This window comes from Homo sapiens, chromosome 8, assembly GCF_000001405.40.
Source record: "Homo sapiens chromosome 8, GRCh38.p14 Primary Assembly".
NCBI classification, from domain to species: domain Eukaryota; kingdom Metazoa; phylum Chordata; class Mammalia; order Primates; family Hominidae; genus Homo; species Homo sapiens.
In genome coordinates, this window is record NC_000008.11 from 79992868 (window position 1) to 80010577 (window position 17710).

Sequence of the window (17710 nt, forward strand, 5' to 3'; positions counted from 1 at the left end):
CAGTATCTTAGAGTAATAACAAGGTTAAAGAAAATAATGCATGCAAACCTCTTAACAAAGTACCTAGCATAGAGTATTCAACAAATGTTAGCTATTATTGTTCTTATAATTAATTACAAATCACAAAATATGTGCTGAAATTCTGAGTCCCTATGAGTCTCTAGATGTTATCAAGCAGCAATCTAAATTAAGACAAAATTCAAAAGAGAACTCAGACCTTCTTTTAAAATAGCTTTTAATTCTTAAAAAATCCACTTGTAGGTCACTAGAACTACAGCCTGAACCAATTGTAGGACTGCAGCCCTGATTCTTTCTCCTCTCTGTCCTATTAAGATATTACCTTCAAAGCTTTTGTGGGAACACTTAATTGCTTGCATTCCTTAACATGCAGCTACCAAAGTAGTTTCCAGATTCACTTTTGACCTTCACAGTCCTGAGAAGGCATATGAGGCAAACTTCCTAGAGATGTAAATTTAGACAATCTCTGGAATGATAGAGCTATACATATGTGAATATGCTACATAAAGCAAATCCATTTTGCATGTCAATTAAAACAGAATCCCATTGAACAATCAATCCAATACAACAAATCAATCCAAAAGAATTTTGTTATGGCATGTATCCAAACAAGAAAAAACCCCTCCAATGCTATTCAGTCTGAATTACATGAGTTTCATGAACTTGGAACATCTCTAAGATCATACTTTATAATTTGATCATATTTGAACATATTTTAAGGTTTCCTATTAAAAAGCTAAATATAACGGATGCTCTTCTATCCTAAAAAAGACTGAAGAGATCTGTTAAAGAAAAACTAGTAGAATGATTTTAAATCACCAACCTATATAAAAACATGCATGCTTTTTTAATGTGTTCCATGTCCTCTGCAATAAAATGACCCACTTAATTCAAATTCTTATTTTCTCTTTTCCCCACCAATACACCTTGAAAACTTTAGTTTTTGAAACATCCAACATACATTCCACTCTTTATCTGACCCTACATATCACACAATCTGAAATAGAAACAAAGATGGGAAAATTAGCTTGTTTATTCCACCTTAGTGTCAAACAAAAGTACAAATAAGATTCAGTGCACGTGCCAGTTACCTTAGAGCTGCCAATCATGCTTGTTTTGAAACCCTTCAATTTTCAGAGCTGTCAATCCTGTGTTTTATGATAGAGAGCCAGCATAGAGACAATGCTTTAAAAGACACAATCCTCATTAACACATTAGTAAACGGACTTTACTTATAAAACTGGACTTGAAGATTTTACAGAAATGTTTACAACTCTCGAAAAATCAAAACTAAAATACAACTTAATGAAATGAAAAGATTTGGAGAATTTGGCTCTTTGACCAAAGCAACAGCATAGTTTAACCACAGGGATTTTATACACATATATACAATATTATATTATAAAAAGAGAATGTTCCTGACTAACACTAATCGCAAGTATTATGACCTTGAATGGAAATAAGAGAATAAAAGTGATCTACATCCGGGCATTTTAATTTTTGTTTTTAAAGCAGGCAATAATATCAATAACACACTCCCCTTCTCTACCTCCCCAACACAACCCAACTCACTACCCAGTCCATTCATGTCCAAAATGAAACATTATTCAAAATTTTTCTCTCTCACCAACCACAACTATTCAGTCACCAAGACCTGTCTCTTCCACCTCCTAAACTGCTAAATGTGTCTCCTTTCTCCACCCTCAGATTTAATTCATATTCTCATCATTTTTTTCAGCAGCTTCCTTACTAACTGCCCTCTCACATCCTTCTTCCGAAATATGCTCCACACCTCTGCCAGAATGATCTCACTGAAACACAAAGTTGACCCACGTTCCTTGTTACAATATTTTAATGATTCTTTGCTACTTTGAAAATAAAATCCCAATTTTTTAGGACAATATGTAAATTCCTTGAAAATCTGGCTCCTGGTCATCTCCCCACTCTCCCATCACTCCTCCTAAACTTAAGCCAACTAAACCACTTGAATTCCCAGAAGAGGCAGCCTCTCTCTCATTTAAAACTTGTTCAAGTGCTGCTCCTTCACCCAGAAACACTCTCACTTTCGGCACTTAGTATCTCCTACCCATCCTTTGCAACCCAGTTCTATTGTTAGTTCCTCTGGGAAGCCTCTGACACAAGCAGATTGAACCATCGATTCCTTCTCCATGCCTGTAGAATACAATGAACAGAACTTATATGATGTTATATTTATTGGTTTACTTCTCTATCCCCCTGACCAGATCAACTCCCTGGAAGCAGGGATTGTCATTAGTCTGTATGTCACTAGCCTTAAATACACAGGTAGCACATAATAGATGCTCATTAAAAGTTTGGTGACTCAATGAAAAATCTTATCATGCCCAGTTCATTTAAAAATAAAATTCATAAAATAAGCAGCTTATTTCTTGAGATTGATAAAATGTTTTACCAGTGCATTACAAGGCATCCAAACTAATCAATGCTATAAAGCAATTCTTTGGGCTTAACAAGAGTTTTAAGAAATTTACTCATTTATTTGCAAATTCACTATAAGAATTGGTACCATCTCAAGCAGGATTTCGGATTGAATAATTCCACCTTATTTTTGCTACTGCCCCTACTGGAGGTGTTAAAGTCTCAACCATGATAAATGCTCATGTCCAAAACACTCGGCACCTTGATTGGTTCAACAAACACTGTTCTGATATGTGACAATCCCTATCAAGGGCATCAGTGAACAGGGAGTCGACATAGGCAAAACTCCAACCCAGTTACACTTCACTTATCAGGAAGTTAGTTATCTGGTGACATCAAGTAGCTACACAGCCCAGTGAGACCTAAACAGAAGGAGTTTAGGAGCTGTCAGAATACATGTTGAAGTCCATACACTAAAGTACCCACACTTTACTCACAGAAGAGGCTGCTAGGTCCTTACTCAAACCCTAGTTGTTCTTATTTTAAGCACAACAAATTTGATGACTGATCTCCCAAGTATAGGCATACTGGAAGAGGAAAATTAGGAGGTCTGAGAAAGCTATAAAAAGCAGACAAGGGCATAACAGCAGTAAAGGAGAGATAACACAAAACTGCAGAACTGGAGGGTTATATGGTTATGCAGCAATAATTCTGTATATTTTTATTATGATACAATATAGAAATTAATGTTTATAATTATGACCCTGGGTCATCAAAAGCAAAAACAAAAAAAGGTTCAACTATTTTAGGTCTAACAAGGTTCAAAGAAAGTATATAATACATTTTATTAAAAGAACCAATAAACAATTAAAAATTAAGTATATTAGGTATAAATAGCCAATTTTCTATTATTTACACAATAAACTTTTTTGAAATACATCATTCCCAAATAACATGAGGCATACTGATATTAACCAGGTCCTGTGACTAGAGGTCTTACCACAATTATGATACAGATCCATTACAAAACAAAGCCTAGACCTGATAGTTATTAGCTTATTGGGGGTTACACTATTCCAACTTACCATACTATTTCCTAGTCTGTTCGATCTGAATAACAAAACACCATAAATGAGGGTATCTTATAAACAGCAGAAACTTCTTTCTCATAGTTCTAGAGGCTGGAAGTCCAGGATCAAGGCACAAGCATATTTAGTGTCATGAAGACCTGGTTCTGGTTCATAGATTAACTAACTAGCCAGTTCACTAATCCCACTCACGAGGGCAGAATCCTCATGACCTAAGTACCTCCCAAAAGCCCAGCCTCCTAACTACATCACACTGGTGATTATGTTCCAACAAATGAATTCTGCAGGGACACAAACATTCAGACCACAGCAACAATGGACACCATAACCAAAGATATAACAGACTACCTATGATTTTTTAACAGACCTCCACAGAGCTTCACTGCCACACTGCCTTCAGGGTCCCTGGAATGAAACTGCTTCATATGTAAGACTGTTTTAGGAAGTCTTTATGATGCTTGAGTTACTATATATTGTATGATTTAGAGTGAAGCACAGCGGGGTGAAAAGAAAATTTGGATATACACAGCCCTAGATTTGAATCCCTGCTTTGTTAATCCCTAGTTGCATGACTGCAGCACATTATTTATGCTCAGAGACTCATTTTCTTCATTTGGGAAATGTGGATAATACCTACTATCTATGTTTGTTGTGAAGAATATATAAGACAATATACATAAAATACCAGTGTAGGTTTTTAAAAAGCTGTTAAGATTATCAGAAGGAAATCAGATGGAATATAGAAAGGAAACAATCAAGTCTGTGAAATTGTTTGCTGCATTAATATGACAGAAAAAAATGTCTAAAAACAGGTTCCCATGATGGGAAAAGTGCTCTGTATTTTTAAATTACCATACAAGCCCTCTGACTCACAGAAAGGTTCATGGTAAATTAGGTTAAAGACTCATAAAAAAAGTATACATGTACACAGCAAAAATATTAACTTAAAGCAGATTAATGCAAATATTCTAATATGGGGCCAAGGCGTTCTCTCTCAGTAGGGGGTCCACTCACTGAAGCTCTGCTCTTCCTCACATAACAATACCCACACTGCAAGGTCTGTGACTGCCAGGGCCAGTCATGTGAAAGTAGAACAAGAACAGAAAGACAATTGGAAAGCAATACCTTTCACGTTTTTATAATTTTTGTTTCAATCTACAGTTTTCTTGCACAATCTAATTCAATAGCAATTTCTTAAAAACAAAAAACTCTCTCCTTTCTGATTCAAGCAGCAGAGATGGGGGAAAAAAAAAAAACCAAAGTTTTCTGTTATGGAGTCTTTCTAAAACATTAAAGTTAGCATTCATAAGAACAAAAACCCTTTCTGTATTCAAATTTTATTAGTTTGTACAATATTCAAGTAAATTTCTTAATATAAACACATTCTGAAATGAGTACAACTAGGCCGGGCATGGTGGCTTAGCCTGTAATCCCAGCACTTTGGGAGGCTGAGACGGGCGGATCACTTGACGCCAGGAGTTCAAGACCAGCCTGGCCAACACGGCAAAACCCTGTCTCCACTAAAAATACAAAAATTAGCTGAGCATGGTGGCACATGCCTGTAATCCCAGCTACTCAGGAGGCTGAGGCACAAGAATTGCTTGAACCTGGGAGGCAGAAGTTGCAATGAGCTGAGATCATGCCACTGCACTCCAGCCTGGGTGACAGAACAAGACTCTGTCTCAAAAAAAAAAAAAAGAAAGAAAGAAAGAAAGAAACAAGCACAACTGAGCTTTTGCTAAACATATACCTCAACTGGAAGAAACCAAAGTGCCTAGGTATAGTACAGGACTACTAATTTCTAATGTTCCATGTGGTGTTGGTATCTGTCAGTGGGCTTTACAAAAGAAAAAGATGATGTCAATTGATTTGACAAATCAGTTATTAAATGATAACTTCCAAAGAAGTTAATGCCATTCTGAGTCATTCTGATTTGTCATATGTGATTTCTGACTTCAAGTCATAAGCTGATTTAAAAGAAAAATATAATAATTATAACTTTTGAGGCTGGTACTATAAGGTCCCATGCATGTCTCAAAATCTCTAAATATACGTATGTCTATTTTGCAACTCACTCTAAGTAGATCAAATTACTATTGTTCATGCTTAAGTACTATAGCTTAGATTCTGAATGCTACTATTAAGGTCATGTCTTTCTAAAATTAGTTTCTTCCTTTCCAAGTGTTTTTCAAACTTTTCTTATTTACAGTAGAAATACTCACCACACACATTAAACAAAATTGTCCCAGAGCTATAATACATAAAACAGATAAATGCAGGGCTGCTCTGAAAGTAGGGCCCAACTGCCCCTTTATCCCCAATAAGCAATATCTTATGCTTTTCTGCAAAACTCTAGGGCGTTTTGGTACAAAGACTAAAAACTGCTCCTTTAAACTATAATCAAAAATGAACATTAAAACAAAAGTTATAGAACTTAAAAGGCTATTATTTAGCTAATTAGAATATTCATTAATCAAAATATTTTCTGATCCCTATTAGTTGTTATAAGTCTGAAATGCCAAACTTACTTATTAAAAGAAACAATAAAAAATTAAAACATTTGGCTAAACTGGATATTTCAATTAGTTATTTTTCATTGTATTTAATTAATCTTTAAACTGTCCTAAAGTAGCATTATTCAACTACACAAAAGTCTGTATGAAGAGAAGAAAATAGTTCTCTAAAAGGATCAAAAAAAAGGGCAGGCTGATGAATGATGAACAGATTATGTAAATATTTCTCTTATTTATAACAATTTAAAATGTACCAAAGCAGGAAGCTCTGCTATTATGGAGATTCAGCCTCCTAGAAGCTGCTCAGTCAGAGGCCTGACAGTATAACTGCAGAGAACACGTGTCCAGCCCAATAAGCTGTTCTACCTCGTCATATAATCTAAACGTACAGGTACAAAAAGGGGAAGACCACAAACAACTGAGCTGGATCTCATTACTTCCTTGTTCAGTGATAAAGACAACAGGCAAACATTTGAATTAAGTAGGTTCTTACCCACAAATTTTGTTTTAGATATAAGTAGGAGTAATCAGTAACCAAAATAGTAATTATGCTGACCTGACAATTCTCAATAATATTTTCAAAGCATAAGTGACAGATCCCTATAAGAAACCTAGAGAAGGGTTTTGGAAAGAACCTAGGCATTTCTACGTGTACAAATGAAGATCTAATAATCATTCTGTGAAGAGTATAAACCTTCATTTCATGACAGATTAAAAACTGGAGAACATGAAATTTGCTATGTTAAAAAGTTTCTCTCCAAAAAACAATGTATGTCGATAAAGAGCTGGAGTTGTTATCTACATAGCCGTAAGGGTATGTACATAGGATATGCAGGTAGAGAAAATAAGTAATCAAACTACTGATGTTAAACCTTGGCTGAAGATTGGGCACAGTTAGAAATAACATTATCAGTCTGTAGGACCAAAGAGGAAGCTGAAGAGAGAGAGCTTCAGAGATAGCTGAAGCCTTGACTCTTATCTTTTTTTTTTAAAGTCACTTTGATGACATTTCAGACTTACAGAACTAGAACTAGAAGTCAAAGGCCTTTTTTGACTACTGTTATTTTCCACTCACCAGGCACTCTGTCACCATATTATCCATTTTTACTTATGTAATTACCAATATTTTAAATTGATTCATGTACTTGTTTACTATCTATGCCTCCTTCCCCCATTTGCATATGCACTTCAAGAGAGCAGAGAACTAGTCTGTCTGGTTTACCAGTCTTTACAACAGTACCTGGCAAATTGAAGAGGTCTAGTAAGTATTTGTTGAATGAATGAGTGAATGAATGAATGAATGAACAAATCAACTCCTGTAGCACTTTGGCTCCTCCCTCTTGATGATCCTCATTCATGAATGTATTTATTTTGTGACTCCTTTGAAGTTTAAATGGGTATTTCTGGTAAGAGTAACTGGATATTAAGCAGGTGGTTTCATGGAAGCAGGAATAGAGAAATTACTACAGATAACTACAGAACAAAGAGATGTAGGCATATAACTCTCCTAAGTACCTTTAAAAAGACTCTAATATAGTGACTGCTCCAAAGACTAGAGAATTTACTTGCAAAATTACTAAGAGCCACCCCGTCTCCCCTCAAAAAGCTTTTATGACTGCTTCACTGGGGGGAGAACAGACAGAGATGGAGGTTTCAAGAAAACAATTTATATAATAGAATGTGTGCATATGTGGTATATATTTAGTTTTAAATAAAAAATTAAGATTTAATAAATGTTGTAATAGATGCCAGTATTTAACCATTTAAAGCTATACTACACATAAAACAAATTCAAATCAGACTATACTACTCATTAGAAAACTAATCGCAAATCTGATACTTAAAAATCTGTGACTTAAAGCCAAGCATGGTGGTACATGTCTGTAAGTCCCTGCTACTCAGGAGGCTGAGGTGGGAGGATTGCTTGAGCCCAGGAGTTCAAGTCCAGCTGGGGCAATTTAATTCTAGATCTCTAAGGCATTCTGAATATATTATGTTCAAGAATATAACATAATCACAAAAGTGATGTTTTAAATTTTTAATTCAATGAGAAAAAAGAACAGTGCCGACAAAAGAATATCCCCAAAGAAATAAATATCCATGAAAGAGATATGATTAACGGAATTCCATCCTCACATATAAAAAAAGTATATGACTAGTATTTGTAATTTATAATAAACTTGACTAAGCAGTTGAACATCTGCTGAGAAATATCTTAGCAGAGTTGTCACAAAATATATCTTTTTATAAAGTCAATACCTGATTCTCCAGTTGCATGTTAGGTCAGCTTGTAAGAATAAGACAGGCACTGCGATGGACAGCATCCATGGTAGATGATCAATTGTAAGGAGGGGACTAAGGATTTCTTTGTGTAAAATAAAAGAGCACTTTATTTTATAATTACTATATATTTTCTACTAATGAAAAAATGATCTGCTACAGCTTCTGCTGATAGTACCTAAGAGCTGAGGATACCTCTCTTAAAGGGTAACTTTTGTATCACATATCTTCTTACTTGCCTCCTTCATAAACCCTCCTTAAAAGGAATTCTTGAGGGATGTCATCATTAGGTCACCAGGATTTTAATAATAACAATGCAATGAAAATAACAATAACAATAGTAGCATTTGTTTACCATATGCCAATCACTTTTCTAAATTTTTAGACACAATAACTAATTGAATTCCTTCAGTAGCCGTTTACATAACAGATACTGATTACAGTATTAAAATCTGGATTGACAGACACATCCTACTTAGAAATTTCTTTGAGTCTCCCTACTTTTGAACTAAGCTTGTATGATATTTGATACACCAATTCAAGTCATGCTCAAGCCATTCCTCTCATGCCAGGGAGCACAGTCTTTCAGTTGACACCTGGTTTATACCACTCATCTTGTTAAAACACTGTTCAGCTTCTGGTTATCTAAGGGAGAGGTGTGCTGCAGCCAGCTAATACCAGCTTGTGAGAAGCACTGTGCACACATCTTCCCAACTCTGCATTCGGTGACATCATGTTGGTGACTTGACATTGGCCATGCTGGGAGTATTTCACATTACAGAAATTGGGGCTTTTTTTTTTAATCAACTAGTTGTTAAATATTTACTCATATATCATTAATCTGAGGAAATGTGTATTCTGTTAAGTTTGTCAGACCCTATTCAGATTCAGGTAGGACAAGCTTATGTCTCTAAATTGGGTAAGACCAATTATCAACGGCATCTTTAGATATCCAGCTCTCAGGAGAGAGGCAACTCGTTCTCATAATTGCTCTCCTAGGTCTACAGTAGACTCTTCGCCTTTCATTTCCACAATATGACCAATTTTTATATGCCAAAAACTTCTTAAACACTGTAATTCATCCTATCTAAAATACCATTGATTACTAGATTCACTATTGTTTTATATATGATTAAAAAAAAACACTGCCAGTTAATTTAATATACTGTCAACTGTAACATGCATCCTGATATCAAAAATAGTGAAAAGTAAAAAATGCACATTAGAAATTGATGGGGAAAAAAAATCACTTCTATCTCGTTTACTATTGTTCTATTGTTTTCCCATCTCAGAATCTTAGTTCAACCTCTCCTTGACTCTTGATATTCCACTCCTAGATCTCCCACCTTAGTGCTTTCTCCAGTGCCTATTTATATTCATAAATATCTTTACCTACATAAACCACAACAGAATGAACTCTATTTATTAGGAAAAATAATCCTAAAAATAGATGCAAAATAATAAGAAAAGAAAGGAGAAGTGGAAAGAGACTATGGAACAGAGAGAAGGGACAAAAAAATGGTTCCAGGCAAAATAGCCTAAGCAACATGCATTATTACAAAGTTGGTTTTAAGTTTATGGTGTGGAATGGCTTATTATCAGGATGAACATTCAAGTCTTCCCAACAACTGCTCTCACTGCTTTGAGAAGATATGAGTCTGGCCTGACATGACCAACAAGTATTTTTAAAGCACTTCAGACTTTACTGCAGCATTATCAAGACAAATAAATATGTTTTCTGTCTTTTCAAAAAATCACCTTTCATTCAACAATACTTTTGCGCTATCCCAACTTTTATGAATACTCTTAAGGTACTTGGAAATGATTTTACTTACTCTCCATCCACTTCTGGTCTTCTACATACACAATGAAACTTTCCACCAAAATCTATGTACAGATCATTCTCCACAATATGAAAGATCCGTCCAATGACCAGTTTATCCTTTGCAGGTCCCATCTGTGTAAGAGGAGAATGTCTCAGCATAGATGCAAAGGATTCCACATTTTTTGGAGAACCCTAAATATGAAAAGAGATATTTATATACATATAACTCAACATGAAGGTATAATAAAGTCTTAAAGAAATTTTCTTAAAGTCAATTGTTGTAGCAATAATTTTAAAATATATGTGGAATTTTGCTTTAAAATGCCAGTTATGCTCTTCAACTTCCTCTTCCATCCTTTCCTTCCTGAAGAGGAGCTAAAGAAAGTAGGCATCAAGGTGGAGCACAGTGGCTCACGCCTGTTATCCCAGCACTTTGGGAGGCCGAGGCAGGTGGATCACCTGAAGTCGGGAGTTCTAAGCCTGACCAACATAGAGAAACCCTGTCTCTACTAAAAATACAAAATTAGGGGTTCCAAGATGGCCGAATAGGAACAGCTCCAGTCTACAGCTCCCAGCGTGAGTGACCCAGAAGACAGGTGATTTCTGCATTTCCAACTGAGGTACCGGGTTCATTTCACTGGTGCTTGTCGGACAGCGGGTGCAGGGCAGTGGGTGCAGCCCACCGAGTGTGAGCCGAAGCAGTGCCTCACCCAGAAAACGCAAGGGGTCAGGGAATTCCCTTTCCTAGCCAAGGGAAGCTGTGACAGACGGCACCTGGAAAATCGGGTCACTCCCACCTTAATAGTGCGCTTTTCCAATGGTCTTAGCCAACGGCACACCAGGAGACTATATCCCATGCCTGGCTTGGAGGGTCCCATGCCCACGGAGCCTCGCTCATTGCTAGCACAGCAGTCTGAGATCAAACTGCAAGGCAGCAACGAGGCTGGGGGACGGGCGCCCACCATTGCCAAGGCTTGAGTAGGTAAACAAAGCAGTCAGGAAGCTCCAACTGGGTGGAGCCCACCAAAGCTCAAGGAGGCCTGCCTGCCTCTGTAGACTCCACCTCTGGGGGCAGGGCATAGCCGAACAAAAGGCAGGAAAAACCTCTGTAGACGTAAATGTCCCTGTCTGACAGCTTTGAAGAGAGTAGTGGTTCTCCCAGCACTGAGTTTGAGATCTGAGAACAGACAGACTGCCTCCTCAAGTGGGTCCCTGACCCCTGAGTAGCCTAACTGGGAGGCACCCCCAAGTAGGGGCAGACTGACACCTCACACAGCCGGGTACCCCTCTGAGACGAAGCTTCCAGAGGAACAATCAGGCAGCAACATTTGCTGTTCATCAGTATTCGCTGTTCCGCAGCCTCTGCTGCTGATACCCAGGCAAACAGGGTCTGGAGTGGATCTCCAGCAAACTCCAACAGACCTGCAGCTGAGGGTCCTGACTGTTAGAAAGAAAACTAACAAACAGAAAGGACATCCACACCAAAACCCCATCTGTACGTCACCATCATCAAAGACCAAAGGTAGATAAAACAACAAAGATGGGGAAAAAATAGAGCAGAAAAGCTGAAAATTCTAAAAATCAGAGTGCCTCTCCCCCTCCAAAGGAATGCAGCTCCTTGCCAGCAATGGAACAAAGCTGGACAGAGAATGACTTTGATGACTTGAGAGAAGAAGGCTTCAGACGATCAAACTTCTCTAAGCTAAAGAAGGAAGTCAGAACCCATCGCAAAGAAGCTAAAAACCTTGAAAAAAGATTAGACAAATGGTTAACTAGAATAACCAATGCAGAGAAGTCCTTAAATGACCTGATGGAGCTGAAAACCACGGCACAAGAACTACGTGACGAATGCACAAGCTTCAGTAGCTGATTCGATCAACCGGAAGAAAGGGTATCAGTGATTGAAGATCAAATTAATGAAAGGAAGTGAGAAGAGAAGTTTAGAGGAAGAAAAGTAAAAAGAAATGAACAAAGCCTCCAAGAAATATGGGACTATGTGAAAAGACCAAATCTACGTCTGATTGGTGTACCCAAAAGTGACGGGGAGAATGGAACCAAGTTGGAAAGCACTCTTCAGGATATTATCCAGGAGAACATCCCCAATCTAGCAAGGCAGGCCAACATTCAAATTCAGGAAATACAGAGAACGCCACAAAGATACTCCTCGAGAAGAGCAACTCCAAGACACACAATTATCAGATTCACCAAAGTTGAAATGAAGGAAAAAATGTTAAGGGCAGCCAGAGAGAAAGGTCAGGTTACCCACAAAGGGAAGGCCATCAGACTAACAGCGGATCTCTCGGCAGAAACTCTACAAGCCAGAAGAGAGTGGGGGCCAATATTCAACATTCTTAAAGAAAAGAATTTTCAACACAGAATTTCATATCCAGCCAAACTAAGCTTCATAAGTGAAGGAGAAATAAAATCCTTTACAGACAAGCAAATGCTGAGAGATTTTGTCACCACCAGGCCTGCCCTAAAAGAGCTCCTGAAGGAAGCACTAAACATGGAAAGGAACAACCGGTACCAGACACTGCAAAAACATGCCAAACTGTGGACCATCGATGCTAGGAAGAAACTGCATAAACTAATGAGCAAAACAACCAGCTAACATCATAATGACAGGATCAAATTCACACATAACAATACTAACCTTAAATGTAAATGGGCTACATGCTCCAATTAAAAGACACAGACTGGCAAATTGGATAAAGAGTCAAGACCCATCAGTGTGCTGTATTTAGGAGACCCATCTCACGTGCAGAGACACACATAGGCTCAAAATAAAGGGATGGAGGAAGATCTACCAAGCAAATGGAAAACAAAAAAAGGCAGCGGTTGCAATCCTAGTCTCTGATAAAACAGACTTTAAACCAACAAAGATCAAAAGAGACAAAGAAGGCCACTACTTAATGGTAAAGGGATCAATTCAACAAGAAGAGCTAACTATCCTAAATATATATGCACCCAATACAGGAGCACCCAGATTCATAAAGCAAGTCCTTAGAGACCTACAAAGAGACTTAGACTCCCACATAATAATAATGGGAGACTTTAACACCCCACTGTCAACATTAGACAGATCAATAAGACAGAAAGTTAACAAGGATATCCAGGAATTGAACTCAGCTCCACACCAAGTGGATCTAACAGACATCTACAGAACTCCCCAACCAAAATCAACAGAATATTCATTCTTCTCAGCACCACATCACACTTATTCCAAAATTGACCACGTAGTTGGAAGTAAAGCACTCCTCAGCAAATGTAAAAAAGAAATGATAACAAACTGTCTCAGACCACAGTGCAATCAAACTAGAACTCAGGATTAAGAAACTCACTCAAAACCGCTCAACTACATGGAAACTGAACAACCTGCTCCTGAATGACTACTGGGTACATAACAAAATGAACGCAGAAATAACTAAGATCAGAGCAGAACTGAAGGAGACAGAGACACAAAAAAACCTTCAAATAATCAATGAATCCAGGAGCTGGTTTTTTGAAAGGATCAACAAAATTGATAGACCGCTAGCAAGGCTAATAAAGAAGAAAAGAGAGAAGAATCACATAGACGCAATAAAAAATGATAAAGGGGATATCACCACCGATCCCACAGAAATACAAACTAACATCAGAGAATACTATAAACACCTCTACGCAAATAAACTAGAAAATCTAGAAGAAATGGATAAATTCCTCGACACATACACCCTCCCAAGACTAAACCAGGAAGAAGTTGAATCCCTGAATAGACCAATAACAGGCTCTGAAATTGAGGCAATAATTAATAGCCTACCAACCAAAAAAAGTCCAGGACCAGACGGATTCACAGCTGAATTCTACCAGAGGTACAAGGAGGAGCTGGTACCATTCCTTCTGAAACTATTTCAATCAATAGAAAAAGAGGGAACCCTCCCTAACTCATTTTATGAGGCCAGTATCATCCTGATACCAAAGCCTGGCAGAGACACAACCAAAAAAGAGAATTTTAGACCAATATCCTTGATGAACATCGATGCAAAAATCCTCAATAAAATACTGGCAAACCGAATCCAGCAGCACATCAAAAAGCTTATCCACCATGATCAAGTAGGCTTCATTCCTGGGATGCAAGGCTGGTTCAACATATGCAAATCAATAAATGTAATCCAGCACATAAACAGAACCAAAGACAAAAACCACTTGATTATCTCAATAGATGCAGAAAAGGCCTTTGACAAAATTCAACAACCCTTCATGCTAAAAACTCTCAAGCAATTAGGTATTGATGGCACGTATCTCAAAATAATAAGAGCTATCTATGAAAAACCCACAGCCGATATCATACTGAATGGGCAAAAACTGGAAGCATTCCCTTTAAAAACTGGTGCAAGAAAGGGATGCCCTCTCTCACCACTCTTATTCAACACAGTGTTGGAAGTTCTAGCCAGGAAAATCAGGCAGGAGAAAGAAATAAAGGGTATTCAATTAGGAAAAGAGGAAGTCAAACTGTCCCTGTTTGCAGATGACATGATTGTATATTTAGAAAACCCCATCATCTCAGCCCAAAATCTCCTTAAGCTGATAAGAAACTTCAGCAAAGTCTCAGGATACAAAATCAATGTGCAAAAATCACAAGCATTCTTATACACCAATAACAGACAAACAGAGAGCCAAATCATGAGTGAACTCCCATTCACAATTGCTTCAAAGAGAATAAAATACCTAGGAATCCAACTTACAAGGGACGTGAAGGACCTCTTCAAGGAGAACTACAAACCACTGCTCAACGAAATAAAAGAGGATACAAACAAATGGAAGAACATTCCATGCTCATGAATAGGAAGAATCAATATCATGAAAATGGCCATACTGCCCAAGGTAATTTATAGATTCAATGCCATCCCCATCAAGCTACCAATGACTTTCTTCACAGAATTGGAAAAAACTACTTTCAAGTTCATATGGAACCAAAAAAGAGCCCGCATTGCCAAGTCAATCCTAAGCCAAAAGAACAAAGCTAGAGGCATCAAGCTACCTGACTTCAAACTACGCTACAAGGCTACAGTAACCAAAATAGCATGATACTGGTACCAAAACAGAGATATACACCAATGGAACAGAATGGAGCCCTCAGAAATAAAGCCGTGTATCTACAACTATCTGATCTTTGACAAACCTGACAAAAACAAGAAATGGGGAAAGGATTCCCTATTTAATAAATGGTGCTGGGAAAACTGGCTAGCCATATGTAGAAAGCTGAAAGTGGATCCCTTTCTTACACCTTATACAAAAATTAATTCAAGATGGATTAAAGACTTAAATGTTAGACCTAAAACCATAAAAACCCTAGAAGAAAACCTAGGCAATACCATACAGGACAAAGGCATGGGCAAGGACTTCATGTCTAAAACACCAAAAGCAATGGCAACAAAAGCCAAAATTGACAAATGGGATCTAATTAAACTAAAGAGCTTCTGCACAGCCAAAGAAACTACCATCGGAGTGAACAGGCAACCTACAGAATGGGAGAACATTTCTGCAATCTACCCATCTGACAAAGAGCTAATATCCAGAATCTACAAAGAACTCAAACAAATTTACAAGAAAAAATCAAACAACCCCATCAAAAAGTGGGTGAAGGATATGAACAGACACTTCTCAAAAGAAGACATTTATGCAACCAAAAGACACATGAAAAAATGTTCACCATCACTGGCCATCAGAGAAATGCAAATCAAAACCACAATGGGATAACCATCTCACACCAGTTAGAATGGTGATCATTAAAAAGTCAGGAAACAACAGGTACTGGAGAGGATGTGGAGAAATAGGAACACTTTTACACTGTTGGTGGGACTGTAAACTAGTTCAACCATTGTGGAAGACAGTGTGGCAATTCCTCAAGGATCTAGAACTAGAAATACCATTTGACCCAGCCATCCCATTACTGGGTATATACCCAAAGGATTATAAATCATGCTGCTATAAACACACATGCACACATATGTTTACTGTGGCACTATTCACAATAGCAAAGACTTGGAACCAACCCAAATGTCCATCAGTGATAGACTGGATTAAGAAAATGTGGCACATATACACCATGGAATACTATGCAGCCATAAAAAAGGATGAGTTCATGTCCTTTGTAGGGACACGGATGAAGCTGGAAACCATCATTCTCAGCAAACTATTGCAAGGACAAAAAAACCAAACACCTCATGTTCTTACTCATAGGTGGGAATTGAACAGCGAAAACACCTGGACACAGGAAAGGGAACATCACACAGCAGGGCTTGCTGTGGGGTGGGGGCAGAGGGGAGGGATAGCATTAGGAGAAATGCCTAATGTAAATGACGAGTTAATGGGTGCAGCACACCAACATGGCACATGTATACATATGTAACAAACCTGCACATTGTGCACATGTACCCTAGAATCTAAAGTATAATAAAAAATAAATAAATAAATAAATAAAAATAAAAATACAAAATTAGCCAGGCATCATGGTGCATGCCTATAATCCCAGCTACTCATGAGGCCGAGGAAGGAGAATCACTTGAACTCAGGAGGCAGAGGTTACGGTGAGCCGAGATCACGCCATTTCACTCCAGCCTGGGCAACAAGAGCCAAACTGTCTCAAAAAAGAAAAAAAAAAGAAAGAAATTAGGCATCTATACTTGGTGGAGGATGACAGAGATGTGATAGTCCAGGGTGAGGTCTCGAGAGCCCAGGCAGGGTAGGGAGAGTAGAAGAGTGCCTGTATATCAAGTCTCTGAGAATGGGGTGGGGGGTGGTTAGTGGTCAGAGTATGAGCACGTGAGGAGGGCATCCAAGAAGCAATTGACTTTATTCCTAGCACTGACCATCTGTAAAAAAATGCCTTCTAAATCAAGTTTAGTGAAAGTCACTATTCTTTTAATACAAATGTAAATATACATTAAGATAAAAACAATTAAGAGCCTTTCATCACAATGATCAGTCTGAACATGAGTTCCTGATACATAATTCTTTTTAAACAACTTGAATTTGTTATACTTTTCTTTCTCCTAAAGTAAATTCCAAAAGAAAAACAGCTTGTTTTGTGCTATTCACTTTCCGGGAATCTTTTTACATATTGAATTCACTTGAGGTATGACTAATTATTCTTTTTTTCTTACAAAAATTTTTTCCAAACACATTTTTTCCAAATCCGTGAACACAGATTTGTGCCTTCTACTCATTTTTGTGTATGGAGTGGTGTGTGCAATTTGGTACAAACTAAAGGAAGTGCTAAGTTTCTATCTGTGAGAGCAAATCATGGAAGGACATTAACAATTTGATCTGACGACCTAAATGCTGTATTTGGAATGAGTTTTACATTTGTTATTCGGGGAGAACTACTAAAAGTTCAATAGTAAAGCACATTTACTTTTAAAGCTACACAACTATATTTGTGACTTAAGTTTAATGCATGTACTACTTGAAAGATTATAAACTCAAATGCCAGGCCAGGTGAGGGCTTGATAATCAGGATATGTGCCCAAGTTTAAAAGGTGTAGACACTACTCAGCTCCAGCTGCAGCTGCAATTCAAGTCCCCATGTTTTAATTTTTAATGTTTTA

The 17710-nt window shown here is 37.6% G+C and overlaps 2 protein-coding genes across 2 annotated transcripts in view, besides 1 other annotated feature; both read right to left on the reverse strand.

Moving 5' to 3' along the window:
• The window catches only part of TPD52-MRPS28 (TPD52-MRPS28 readthrough), a 252848-nt gene that overhangs the window by 74151 nt on the left and 160987 nt on the right, over positions 1 to 17710 (reverse strand). Inside the window, exon 6 of the mRNA NM_001387778.1 lies at positions 10132 to 10313. Within this exon, the coding sequence (NP_001374707.1) occupies positions 10132 to 10313 (182 nt within the window). The remainder of the gene's footprint in view (positions 1 to 10131; positions 10314 to 17710) is intronic.
• Positions 1 to 17710, reverse strand: part of MRPS28 (mitochondrial ribosomal protein S28) — a 111543-nt gene that overhangs the window by 74151 nt on the left and 19682 nt on the right. The window contains exon 2 of the mRNA NM_014018.3: positions 10132 to 10313. Coding sequence (NP_054737.1) covers positions 10132 to 10313 — 182 coding nt within the window. The remainder of the gene's footprint in view (positions 1 to 10131; positions 10314 to 17710) is intronic.
• Positions 4245 to 4794: an enhancer, noted in NCBI's record as "OCT4-NANOG hESC enhancer chr8:80909347-80909896 (GRCh37/hg19 assembly coordinates)". NCBI's record gives its function as "activates a minimal SCP1, AML or CMV promoter by ChIP-STARR-seq in primed H9 embryonic stem cells {active_cell/tissue: H9 hESC(primed)}" and the evidence as "EXISTENCE:reporter gene assay evidence [ECO:0000049][PMID:30033119]".